Source organism: Homo sapiens, chromosome 2, assembly GCF_000001405.40.
Source record: "Homo sapiens chromosome 2, GRCh38.p14 Primary Assembly".
Lineage (NCBI taxonomy): Eukaryota > Metazoa > Chordata > Mammalia > Primates > Hominidae > Homo > Homo sapiens.
The window spans coordinates 160,315,076-160,329,271 of NC_000002.12; the positions used below are offsets into that span (position 1 = coordinate 160,315,076).

Consider the following 14,196-nt stretch of genomic DNA (forward strand, 5'->3'; position numbering starts at 1 on the left):
TGTTATTGTATTTGAAGTTACTATCAACTCAGGTAATATTTGCATTCTGTTATCTGTTATTTTCTTATAGAGAAATCCATAATGCCTGCATTTTAGTTAACTGTTTACATCCTTTTCTGGCCTTTCCCAATGCCTACCACACTATGGCTGTTTTATAACCATTTGCTGAAGACAAACATAATAGTTAAGTATGCAACCTTGTGCTCTTTCATGCTGTCTATCTGTATTACTTTCAAGTAAATAGAAGACAATATACAATTTGAGTTATACAGACTCTATGGATTTGATTATATAAATAGGTGTAAAGACGTTTTTGAAGGCAGGGTTCACTAAATAACATGGCATCCTCTCACTGAGGCTTCCCAGGAGAATTCCTCTCAGGTTTCAGGACCAGGAATAGTTATGTTACTCCTGCTCTCCTCTCACATTGTGATGACTGAATCATGGGGCGAGCTATGTTTTCTATTTTTGCCTTGGCCAGCAGGAAACACAGGGACATTTGGTAATAACTTAAAGCTGCCTGCTTTTACCCTTATTTTTCCTGTTAGTCTAATTCATCCTGAAACTATTTTTGCTAATGTGTATAAGTATTCTGGTCTTACATGCACTTCTGTAAGTATAAATAATGAATCAATCAATTTCATAACCAATCTTTTGTGAGCTTTTCTTTTTGTCCTGAACTGACATATTTACCAGCATTGGAGGGCTTATAAATGCCTTTTGTTGGCTAAACTTTGAGAGAAACTGAAATGTAAAATAGCAACTGAATTGTGAATTTTAAAATTTAATAACTTAGGTACATGTTATTCTAATGTTTCCTTCAGCTTAATTCTCTTGAAAATACATGTTCCAAAAATATGTTTTGTGGCAAAAAATGTTCTGTAACCCTCTAAGATCTCTCATTCCCATATATAAAGTCCTTTGATCTGCTTAATTTCAAAAAATTAGTATATAACACAAGTACCTTTCATTTATATTAATATTCTATAATCTTTTATGCATTTATTTATTTATATTCATTTATCAATCAGTCATCTATATGCCTATCTATCTACCTATCACGTCAAGTTATCTTGGGTAACATGTTATCTAACTTTATCATGAGTTAAGTGTTATTTCTTCTCATTTGTCCTGAAATTACTTTTTTCTTGCTTCTAGGATTTTATAAACCCACTCTTACCCTCTCCACTCACTCACTCACCCACCGTCTCAACCCACCAGATATCTGTTGACACCTATTGCTGGGAGGCTTGTGTGAAGCAGAGAGCCCTGGAAGGTTTCTATTACTGCCCACACACCCAAAAGCAGTGTCTCCCAAAAACCACTTTAAAGGAAGGTCTCCAGGAGACTTCTTGTATCTAAAATAAGTTCTGAATTAGTCCTACCCTTAGAAGTCCATAAATCTCTCTACTATGGACCCTTACCAACTGTTAAGGGTTTGTATTGTGACAACATGTTAGATTTAGCATTAGTTTATTTTTTACCCATACCTTTTCTAGATCACGTAGAGCACTTTGAGGAATTTTGGCTTCTATGGAATAGGTTGCTTTTGGAGCAGAGTGTAAAATAGTGTGGTTTTCAGTTCAGGGATGTGGTGAAGCATTCAACCTCTGGGTCCTTTCTTTTACTTAAATTAGGGCAGCTCTGCTTTTTAACACACTGAGCCGACATTAAGATTTCTTTTGGGGTGGGGAAGAAAAAGAGAGGAGGTAGGGTATGGATAAAACCACTTGTCTACTCTGATTTCTCTCTAGTTTCAAAGTGATGTTGGTGATCAGCCTCCTATTTTTATTCCTGCAAGAGTCTATTTTTCTTTATAAAACCAAAAGATTTTTTTTCTGTGTCTCTGCTCTCCCAAATCATTTATAAATGTTAAATAAGACTAACCTTGGAAACTAAGTATATGCATTTCAGTCTATAATTTGACTCTCTCTAGTTTAATTCATTTAAAATATTTATTGGGTACCACTCTACATAAAGCACGCTCTATTCACTGTCCCAAGGCAAAATTGCCTTAATGTGCCATGTTGATTAAACATGAGCTTAGCTATTTGCTACAATAGCTCCTTTAAATTTAGGCACTTTGAAGAAGAGACAGAAATACAATGAACCACTTCAAGTCTAGATTAAAGGAAATGCTTGGCTTATAAGGAGAGGCCCCTACCATAGGGTTCATTTATGTTCTCTGCCTTTTTCAGATTGTGCTAAGCCACTGCCCCGTCACCACTACTTGAAAAACTGGGGTCTAATTAACGAGGAGATTTGCCTTCTCTGCCTATTCCTGTCAACTTATTTCAATTCATGGGGTCAGTAGTTAGATTCAAAGTCAGCTGACTCTATTCTTCCCTTTTCCTAGAAATCACATGCCTATTGTTAAGATGCTGGATCATTAAAAGTCAGAACCACAGAGCATCAGTGCTGCCTACTGTAGACGCCTCCTCTTCCAGCTCATGGGGCTGGATGAGCTCATCCTAATTACATGGAAAACTGAAGGTCAGTGCATCAAATTAATGCAGCAGCATATTTCAAAGGGGCGCATGACCTCCCCTCCCTATTACAATTTGGTCAGTGAAAATGGTTGTCTCCTCCCTGCTGCCAATATTGTCAACAGGCATTCAGCAGAGAACAATTGGGAGTACTGAAACATGTAATTAAGTACTGCTTAAAACTACTCTATTCTAATTAATAGAGCCAATTTGCACAATATGTAATCTTTTCAGTTCTTTAGTACAGTCCAATGGTCTTCAGTAAGCAGCTCTAATCTCCTCAGGCTCAGGAAAGAAAAGCTATTTTCTAACTCTACTCCCCTTTTAAAAGCAAGGGCTAAATGCCAACCCGTATTTTGCATGTTAACTCTACTGGCGTCAAATCTGGAATTCTGGCAAACTGCTAGCTGCTGTTGGGTTTGTAGCCAAAACCCAACCAGGGACAAATGTAAGTAATATGCTGACACTGTGCAAGACAGAAACTGGGTGATATATAAGATCTGGTTTTTAATAAAACGAAGGTGGTTTTGAAACCAAAGATCAGGTTTTAAATTCCATCATTTTTCTAAAGCTATCATTTACCAAATAACCAGCCAAGAAAACATACCTTTGCATTTGTTCGTTGTCTTATCCAAAATTGCCTTTGTGGAGACTATTTTCCCATATCTAAAAAAAAAAAAAAAAAAAAAAAGGAAAAAAAGAAAAGAAAGAAAAAGAAGTTATAAGGAACCCTTATTAATGCCTAAATCCAAAGAACACACATTCTTTTCAAACATCTGCAAACTTTAGAGTACAAAATTTTCTTTACTAAGAGACAGGAAATGAGAATTCTGAACTCAAAACTGAAAAAAAGGGAATGGCTAGGCCTCTTGTTTGAATTGTGGGATTGCAGTTTGAAGTTCAACTCTGAAGAAATCAAGTACTTACCTGACAATCTTAGGACAGAAACATGGGATGTGGGCTCTATACCAAATATTTTCTTCTAATAACAGTATATCAGTGGTAAAATACAAAGCCAAATGCAAGGTTATAGAATTCTAACAGGAAAGTACTGTCCTATGATCCATACAGCTTTTATGAAATAGTAACAGCGGAAAGCTGCTTGCATTATTCTATTCATTTTGGTTCTGTGGACACCATTGCAAGGCTCCATATCGCCACAGAAGGGCAGGTGTGTGCGCATGTTTATGTTTAGCACACTTAATGGTGTCAAACAGATCCTTTTTACTGAGGACTTTTATAACTGTTCATAAATACACTTATTTACACCACTTGTAACTCAGTAATAATAATTATACAGTAAACTCACTTTGTGTGCATGCACATGTGTCTAAGAAACGGACAATCAAGAATATAATGAAGAAGAATATAAGAATTAATCAGGGATTAATCATTAATTTTATGAAGTTTCTATGAGAAATATGTTCAAATTCCTTTATGTGCCATAGATGCTGGGGAATATAGGAAAAATTAAGAACATTAAAATTTAGCATACTGCTACTGAAAACGAAGCGACAGTATAATGTAAATATGAACCGAACCCCACACTCTCTCCATAGTGGCCATACTATAAGGAAAAGCACTGTTATCTATGCTTGCCTTCTAAAAATTGAGGAAAAAAAGTTTTGAAAGATAACTTTTAAAATTGTTTCTTAAAAATCAAAGTAAGGCTGGGCACGGTGGCTCACACCTGTAATCCCAGCACTTTGGGAGGGTGAGGCGGATGGATCACTTGTGGCCAGGAGTTCGAGACCAGCTTGGCCAACATGGCAAAACCCTGTCTCTACTAAAAATACAAAAATTAGCTGGGTATGGTAGTGCATGCCTGTAGTACCAGCTACTTGGGAGGCTGAGACAGGAGAATCGCATGAACCGGGGAGGCGGAGATTGCAGTGAGCCGAGATTGCACCACTGCACTCCACCCTGGGCGACAGAGCAAGACTCCATCTCAAAAACAAAACAAAACAAATCAAATCAAAGTAAGACTCTGGGAAATGCATTTAACTTACTCGATGCATCTGAGTCTCACGTTTCCTCATTTACAGTCTACTTTCCTAGACATTTACTTCAAAAATTCCACATTTGCTCTACTTTAATTTTCTCATGAATGATTTTGAGGACAAAAAGCATATTAAAATTTTTAGGAAATGGAAGTATTTTGTAGCATTTTAAACCATTGTGAATATTACACACTTGTATTTTATGCACTGAAACAAGCTGAAATATATTTATCTAGAAGAAAAAAAAATGGCTTGAGCCACTTCTCTCCTTCAGTTAATCTTCCTTATGTTCACTCTGTGTAATCATGTAATCAAATGATTACTAACTAGGCATGAAAGTAAAGATAATTTCAGGTTCAAATGACAATTACATCTAAGAGGCATAATGCTGCACAAACACCTTCAATTCCCTGTTGAGATTCTGAGCATTTTAACAATATTAACACAGATCACTAGGCTTACAAAGAAATAATCTATAAAAATCTACAAATGAGAAAAAAATAAGTGATCTAAAGACAACCTTTCAGCAACCATCTATCTACCTAGGTTACATGCTTGATATTTACCAGCTCCTATCGTTTGAATATTTCACCCATCCAAATCTCATGTTGGAATATGATTCCCAGCTGAGCATGGTGGCTCATGCCTGTAATACCAGCACTTTGGAAGGCCAAAGCCGGCGGATGGCTTGAGCCCTAGAGTTCGAGACCAGGCTGGGCAACACGGCAAAACCCCGTCTCTACCCTCCCAAAGCACAAAAATTGTCTGGGCATGGTGGTGCGGGGCCTATTGTCCCTGCTACTTAGGAGGCTGAGGTGGGAGGGTCGCTTTAGCCTGGGAGGCAGAGGTTGCAGTGAGCCATGATCTCGTCACTGCACTCCAGTCTGGGTGACAGAGTGAGACCATGTCTCAAAACAAAACAAAAACTCCCAATGTTGGAGATCAGGCTTAATGAGAGGTGTCTGGGTTGTGGGGGTGGATCCCTCATGAATAGCTTGGTGCCATCCTTGTGGTAGTGAGTTCTTGCTCTATTAGTTCTGGTGAGAACTGGTTGTGCAAAGAGCCTGGTACCTCCTCCTCTGTTTTCTTTCTCTATGTGATCTCTGCACACACCTTCTCCCCTTTGCCTTCTGCCAGGAGTGGAAGCTTCCTGAGGCCCTCAACAAGCAGCAAGCGCTGATGCTGTGCTTCTTGTACAACCGGCAGAACTACGAACCAAATAAACCTTTTCTTTTAACAAACTACCTAGCATAAGTATTCCTTTACAGGAACACGAAAAATGGACAAAGGCACCAGGACTCTCTCGTGTGTACAAGTCCTTGACAAAAGCACTTTTAGACTGTATCCCTGTTTCATACTTTTCCAAAAGCGGGGGGACGGTAGGTATGACTCCAATTTGGGGTAAGGAGATTGAGAGTCACAGTGATTAAGAGACTGCTCAAGCTCTCAGAGTTCAGGGCATTTTGTAAACCAAACAGAAGAAAGGCTCATTTAGGAGAAGGAAGGTAAAGGGTTGGCCTTCGACACTTCTAGTTCTGCTTTCAACATTTAATGATGGGAAAGACAGGAAAATGCATGGAGAAAGGGGAATGAGGAAGTAGGCAAAGAGAAAAGGCTCAGTAGTGCTGAATGCAAGCCATGCCACACCCTCTCTCAGCTTGTTTGCTACATCTGGCATGAGTCCGCTCTGCCAGTGCACCTCCCTTCTCTGTGGCAGGTACTCCCCCATCTCATTCCATCTTTCACAGCCCTCTTTCAGGGGTTCTTTGCCCATTCAGCTTCCTCTTCTCCCTCCTTAACTAAGTACTTTCATCAAGTTTAATATTTGGTCTTCAACTGTTTCTTCTCTTAGGAAATTCATTCAGTGCCATGTTTTTAATTAATGAATCTCCTCTGATGCTGCTCAGTTCTTCCTTGTGTGTGTATGTGTTTTTTTTAAAACTCACCAAAGCTTTGGTTTTTCTCTCTTCCTCTTTCTACTTAAATACCTTAATATTTTATTAGGATTCTTAAATATCCAGTGAAATATTTAAGTAGTGAAATATCAAGCCCACGACTTTCTAAATCTCATCTTCAATATTATCTCAAACATGGCTTTCCCTGTCTCTCTCCATATCTCTTTTCATTCACTAGCACTCACTCTCCCAATCTCCTACCAAGCTCGGGGTCCTCGTGCCACCACTAACTCAGTAATTCCTGAACCCAGGTGATCAATAACTCTTCCAAATTTTGTCTTTGATATGTTTCCAATCTTTACTTTCTCCCTTCACTGTTCCTAGACACATGCAAAAAACACATAATAGTTCTCCCTGCATCCAGCTTTTCAACCCTGTCTGTTGCATTAATTTACCTTAAATACCCCTTTAAACATCTCTCCATTACCTATTCTACCCATGCTTGAACTTGAAGAACTTGTTCAAACATTATCTTTTCCATGAAACTATCACTAATCTCTTCAACTATTTAGTTGGCTATTTTCTAAGAAACTAGAAAGGGCATTACATTTGTTGACTTCCTACTTATGTCCTAGACACTGTGCCAGGTACTTTGCATGTATGCTTTTATTTAATTAACTTCACAACAATCTTATGAGGTAGGTGTTATTATTCCCATTTGTGCATATGAGAAAACAAAAAGCTCATACAAGTTTTGAGCATTACACCTTGCCTGAAATCCCAGAGCTCACAAATGAGTAAATTTTCATGGCAACTTATCAATGAAATGATTTTGAGAAACAATGCCCTCTGAGTATGGAAGAAGAAGGGTAATGGAAGGTCTGTACGGTACTCAAATATTCATTTTCCAAGCACAGGACATTTTTTACTCATTTGTTTTAAACATAAGAAATAAACACGTGGCTTATGGTTGAAAGAGGGATAACAAGACAGAGGATGGTGAGTAGAAAAAGAGTGATTTCTGACATTTATCAGTTTTACTTTCTATTGTGGTTTTCCTTGCAAGTTGTGGAGTAAGACTGAAAGACTGTGATTTCACAGAACATCAGAAACGGATTCCACTCTGTCTGTGGGGCAGCTGCATACTGGCCTTCTGCAAACAAGTGGCACAGGAAGCTGCTTATTTGGATTTACCTAAGGTGCTGAAGGGCTTCCCTTTCCTAAAATATTCTTCTTTTGGGCTGTCCACTCAATTATACCACTTCCAGCACAAGAGGCTCCCATTAAAATACAGACCCCAGAACTAGAAGATGCAACCCTTGAAATCCGTCAGGCCCTAGCTAAGTTAGCTCCTCAGTGGGCAACTTGGATATCTTATTGTGGCAATGCAGTATAGAACCAGTAGTTTTTGATGTCATGACAAAAGAGCCAGGAAAGGTCCAGATCTAGAATATGAGGAGGAGCCATATATCAAATGGCACCTCAGGGACTGGGATAAGGAGTGGGAGGGTTCACAGTAGTCATCATCTCTCTCTACTCATTTTACTTGCAGTAAGATTTAAAGTGAGGGGTGAGGGGGAGCTGTTATAGACAGTTAACATTTAATCTAATTCTGTTGTCAATCACCAATGCCTGTAAGAGTAACAGACATCTGGGTACAAATTCATAAAGCAACCAGATCTTCACCTCCCCTTGCTCCTATCTGTAGCTTAATTTTTTTTTTTTTTTTAAATCATCAGCCAGGCACGGTGGCTCACGCCTGTAATCCCAGCACTTTGGGAGGCTGAGGTGTGCAGACTGCTTGAGCTTAGAAGATCGAGACCAGCCTGGGCAATGTGGCAAAACACCCTCTCGACAAACAATACAAAAATTAGCTGGACGTGGTGGTGCACGCCTGTAGTCCCAGCTACTTAGGAAGCTGAGGTGGGAGGATCACTTGGGCCTGGGAGGCAGAGGTTGCAATGAGCCAGGACTGCGTCACTGCACTCCAGCCTGGGTGACAGAGTGAGACCCCCTGTTTAAAAAAAAAATCACTGTTACGGAATAGGGACATATGATGTACTAGGAGAAACAGGTCTCCTGACTGGCGGAATTCACACTCTAAGGACACTAAGAAAGTGCACGACCAAACAGCATGATGTAGAATTTCATGAAAGAAAAAAAAAAAAAAAAAAACTGTGACTATGAAGATTCTTTGGATTTCATCTGGCTTCAAAGTAACTGGGTTAGACCACAGCCCCAGCTACCCAGATTATAATATTCTTTGCTAGAGTAGATAATCCACTCCAGAGCAAGCTCTGACAGTAAAAAGATGAAGAGTAATTAAGAGACATGACTATATAATAATATGAATTTCAAAGGGAGAGGATAACAGGTAAAAGCTCATGTTCAAACCTCTTGGCCCAAGTGAGCTTGGCTAATAAAACCTTTTACTTAGAATTTACTAAAACTTCTTTAGTTTACACCACAGTTTTACTCATTTCTTTCTTTCCATTTAGATCTCCTCTTTCATCTGCTACAATATAAAATGTAGGTATATCTCAGTTTGCACTTAGTATATAAAGCTTAATTTTCTCCTCTGCCTCTATCACTTAGTTACTCCTAAATTCTACCTTTTTGGTAATTTATATTACAAAAGAAACACAAGCTTATTGTACACTTAGAAGACAAAGAAAAGTAGGTTGAAAAATTAAAATCACCTGAAGTCCTGGATATGATTATTGGTGCATATCATTATAGACTTTATCCACTGGCACGTACAAATGTATAAACGTATGTGTGTGCGTGCAAGCATGCGTGCGCGTGCACACACACACACACACAATTTTCCTGTGTGCTAGGGAACGTGCAGCTTTTGAAGAGTCCAGGTTATAAGCCAAAGCTCTGGAGAGTGGCGTCCACTCCAACCACCACCAACAGATGGCGACAATGGTTGTTAAGTTATTTTAATATTGGTCATTTCAGTTGTAAATTCATTTAAGGCACATGGGGTCATTTGCAGTGCTTGTGCTAGTTTTAGAATATTTTATGAATATTATTAAACCTGAAAACACAATGGGTGTGTTTAAAACAACAGTAAAAAAAAAAGTGATATGTATAAACAAAAAAGATACTTTAACTTTGAGAAAGGGCAGAATGTTGCTCATGCATATAGAATGATAGTTTTCATAATAGCTGCTCCTGAAGGACAAACAGGGATTCACACATCCCGTAAAAGACGCTGTGCCTATGTATATGACCATAATTAGCAAGTAGGAGGGACAGGGGATTGAAATGAGAAAAAGAAGAGAAAAATAAAACATCAACATCAGAAAACTTATGACCTCGTGAGTTAATTCAGGGGAATAATAAAAGTAATTACTTACAGGTATACAGCTCCTACTCTATGCCAGGCACTATTCTAAGCGAGATGTGTGTGTGTGTGTGTATATATATATATATATATATATATACACACACACACACACACACACACACACACATATATATGCGCCAATTATTTTAATCTTCTTAATCTTTTGGGGAGGTGGAGTATTACTCCTACTTTGTAGATGTGAAACTCAGGAGCAGAGTCAGTAAGGGACGTATTCAAGGTTACACAACTAAGTAGCAAAGATGGGAGGTAGAATGTTTGCTTTGGAGTTTAAAGGCCAAGCATGTTGACAGCTATGGAAACTTGGGTCACCAACCACAGACTGTGCCACAGATTGAAAGTAATTCCCAGTTTGACTCTGCACACAGCTCCAAAAGAGTAAGGAGATGAGGGGTGGACTCCGTAATTGCTAAGGTCCTTAAGACAGATGCTGATGACATTCAGGAAGAAGTTACCTGACTAAAGACCTTCTGGATACATGACATTGGTCTATCTTGGAATAACATGCCCAGTAGAGCATATACCTCAGTGAGGGGGTCGGCAGGACTGGCTTTAAAGCTTAAAAGGAATAACTAAGGTATCTATTTGAGGGAAATGAATTTGAGGACTACAAATCTATTTGAGGAAACCCCCTCTTGTTATTTTGGAGTTGCTGGGAAAAAAGAAAAAATACAATACACGTCCTCACACATGTACACACAGATGAATGCAGTTTTCTAACTCACTTTTTTGGCTGCTTTGTTTTTTCAATGGCCTCCCAGACAAAGGGGATTTCCTAAAACTTGCTTTAGCTCTTTCAACAGTGGTTGGATAGGGGAAGGAACACAAAGTATACATTACGTCTGTTTAGCAAATAAAGTTTTTTGGAGAATGAGGCCTAAAAATAGTAGAAAGGGTCATTACCCATGTTATTCTGAATTCTCACTACCTGGAATAATTCAGCTGGTTATATTTCCTTTATTTACTTGGCATGTAAAGTGGTATTTGGAGATGAGATAGAAGATGTAAAAATTTATTAGGCAATCAAAATCAAGTAAATTTTATATGACATTTACCTCTTTTGCCCTGATGATTTTCAATGTTTCTACTTCCAAGACACAAAAATTAAGGGTATAGAAAGATATTCCCCATTTCATTTGGTTGTTCTGGCCTAACTCTTACATTAGATAGCTGCCCCTTCCACTTGTGTTATATGGCTGAGTGTACCTTTATGAATAAAAGATTCCTGGTGTATGTAGCTGGAATTGAAGCCAGGGTTTAAAGGAGAATGCTTGGCAAGAAAAGCTACTGCAGACCTAAAGGTCAGAAACAACTGAAAACCAGGCGCTGAAGGTGAAGGGATTACGGGAAAGATAAGTACAGTCAAGAAAGGAGAGATCAAACCAAGAAATCAACTCAAAAATATTTATAGCATGTTTACAGTATGCCCTTTCAAGGCCTGTGAAAAATACAGCAGATGCCACACCTACCATTAAGGAGGACAGTCCTTTGGGGTATGTAAAAAACTTTTAATACTAAAAAATAACTAAAAATATGAGACCCTGTATGATGTATGCTAAATAAAGGAGGCATAAACATAGAGGGAAGGTCAAGTTGAGTAAGAAAAACTGGAGAAAACAAAAATCTAGGTGGGCTCTGTAGGACAATAAAGAATCTAATGCAAACCTATGTAGTGAGTTATGGAAACTTAAGTCTCCAAAAGTCTTGGAGGACTCTGCATTCTAAGAAAAGGACAGAGAGAACAGAATGAGACTGGAGGATTTGGAACTGTAGAATGAAATCACAAGAGCAATTATTTTAGTAAGATTAACGAAAATTTTTGTCCAGGATTAGCAGAGAGAGATGCCACATTTTATTTATTTTCTTGCTTTTTGTACTTTGGCAATAACACTTAAGTTCAAGAAATTACAATGAGGGATGACGAGACGGAGGGGGTGAATGGAAAGGCTCTACAGGGCAGGAGAGATTAAAGACAAAGGATTTCTTTGAAGAAGTCTTAAATGCTTAACTTGACATCTGAGAAAAATAATCCATGGTATCTGTGCAATGGAAAGCCAGTGGCTTGTCTCTGTGAATTTAGAAGATGGGGAAAAAGAATCACAAAGTTCACTTTTCTGAACTGTCCTGGAAAGGAAAACAATTTCAGCTCCAGCCACAGATGCAAAGCCTGCAGATTTGAGGTGATTTAGCAGAAGTTCAGACAATCCTCATGTGGTCTAACTCTCAGCTAGCCTAGCTGCCTTACAGCATGTGAGCTGATGAAGACTGAATTACAGAAGCATTGGGACAGTTATCACATTTTTTCAAGAGAAGATACAGACATCTACATACCTGATTTTTCATAACTTTGAAATTTTCAGATCAACACATCCTTTGAGAGTACAAATGAAACTGGTCATCTCTACCCAGATTTTGAGACTAATAACCTTTTCTCACTAAATTGAGAATCATTCCTGTTAATGTCTTACCAACATGCCTGGGTGAATCCATTATAAATAGTATATGAAGGTAACAATTGATGCTGTTTACTGTATGTATAACTTGGACTAAAAAATTCATATAAAACACTAAAACTATCTCATTAAAAATCGCTAAGATGCATTTTTTTGCCATAGACTATGAAAAATGTATAACCTCTCTTCTAAATAAAAGAGCATATTATAAAGCATTTGATTTATTACACAGACTTGCTATTATAGTTTAGTATCAAGTCTATTATGATCTGCAATCAAGGTAACGTAGCTTTACATTATTTTATGGTCTTTTAAGAGCACATTGCACACAAAAGGTCATTTACATTATCTTATGACAATATTTTTACCAGAAGTCACTGTACTACAGCACTTAAGGATGTAGTCACAGATGGCCAGACCCAAATTAGTGCTCCCGAGTACTAACATGTCAGAGGAAAATAATATGTGCCGAAAATGAAACCCAGAATTTTGCAAGTAAAATGTATATTATCTATCATAAAAATGAATCCCTAAATGTCTCAAACACTGATGAATGTCCAACTTTTAAAGCAAAGGCAATTTGATCATAGAAAGTGGCCTTCTATTTCTGAATTGAATTTATGAACTGACAATAATTATTTCTTAAATTTTCTTCCTCTCCCACCAAAACCTGTAATGTATTTTCTTTGCTTTGACAGTGTCACCCTTGTGTTTATATACTACTTAACTTTACTGAAACATAAGGAAGACAATGTTATAATGGAAAGAAGAGAGAGTTGCCACCAGAGAGACCATATCAAGTGCTGATATGGCCAATGGGCAGCCCTGTGACTCTGGTGTAGTTAGTTGCCTGGCCTCAGGATCCTCATCTGTAAAGTTGTATGATAATGTCTCCCTCACAGCACTGTTATAAATGACCACTATGGTGCCTGACATATAATGAATATTCAATGACTAATAAGTGTTATTCTTTTCTCCCATACCCTTCAATTAAGGGCACTTCTAATTACTTGAGACTTGAGAGCATTTACCTAGACTACCTTCTTACCCTAATATCAATGTGATCCAATGTGGCAAAATATTGAGAAAAGAGAGACACAACTTTTTTGTAACTTTTCAGCACAGTTTTTTTTTTTTTCATATTGTAACCTCTCAACATACATTGGTTTGAGTGAATAAAATATAAACATGTAATATGATTTTCCCCCAAAAAGTGTTTGGTGTGGGGAATTGGCAGCAGTGAGGAGAAGGGAAATACATTTTGCCTTAGAAAATGAATATGACCTTATAGTTTATGCCAATTTAGCTCAAAAAATCACAGGAGGGAAGCAAGGCAATTTAGGAACTTAAAATGGAATTAAAAATTAGCACCCTCCCCCCGCCCCCAACACCACGGAAACAAAACTATAAGGGGCTGGGGTGGGGCGGAACGTGTGCAAAAAACCCAGAAAAGCTTTCGTTTCTAAACTGTTTTTCAAGTGTCTCTAAATTTGTCACTCCTTTTAAAGTAAATCACACAACTGGAAATCTTACACACACATACACAACCAGATAACTGTGTCAGAATCTGTAGAAAGTGAATGCATTAAACTCCATCACTGAAAACCATAAATGACTGCTTCATTCAAAACAAGAACAGCATGACAGACAGTAAAAGTAAACATCCTCTCTGAAGCAAAACAGAGTTATCTGAAGCTATTAAAACAGTGTGCAAAATTACCTAGAAATTTCTCTTGATTCTGATACAAGCTAAAAAGGCAAGAGTCAAATTGGACATTTCTTCGACTGAACACTAACGCTGGCTTTGATCCAAAACACTCCACCAGCATATTGATTTTCAAACGTAGTCCATCCTTTTCTCAAGTAATAAATCCTGACTGCCCTGTGACCTTGAAAAGCCAGTCTGAAGAACAGACTGACAAGGAAAATGATATCTATTTTACTCACTTCAGCTCTAAAAAATTTGGGGATAGGATATAAACATATCCC

At 38.0% G+C, this 14,196-nt stretch overlaps 1 protein-coding gene across 3 annotated transcripts in view; it reads right to left on the reverse strand.

The window, feature by feature from the left end:
• The window catches only part of RBMS1 (RNA binding motif single stranded interacting protein 1), a 221,657-nt gene that overhangs the window by 42,925 nt on the left and 164,536 nt on the right, over nucleotides 1-14,196 (reverse strand). For all 3 annotated transcript variants that reach the window (NM_002897.5, NM_016836.4, XM_047445368.1), the window contains exon 3: nucleotides 3,094-3,152. In NM_002897.5, coding sequence (NP_002888.1) covers nucleotides 3,094-3,152 — 59 coding nt within the window. The remainder of the gene's footprint in view (nucleotides 1-3,093; nucleotides 3,153-14,196) is intronic.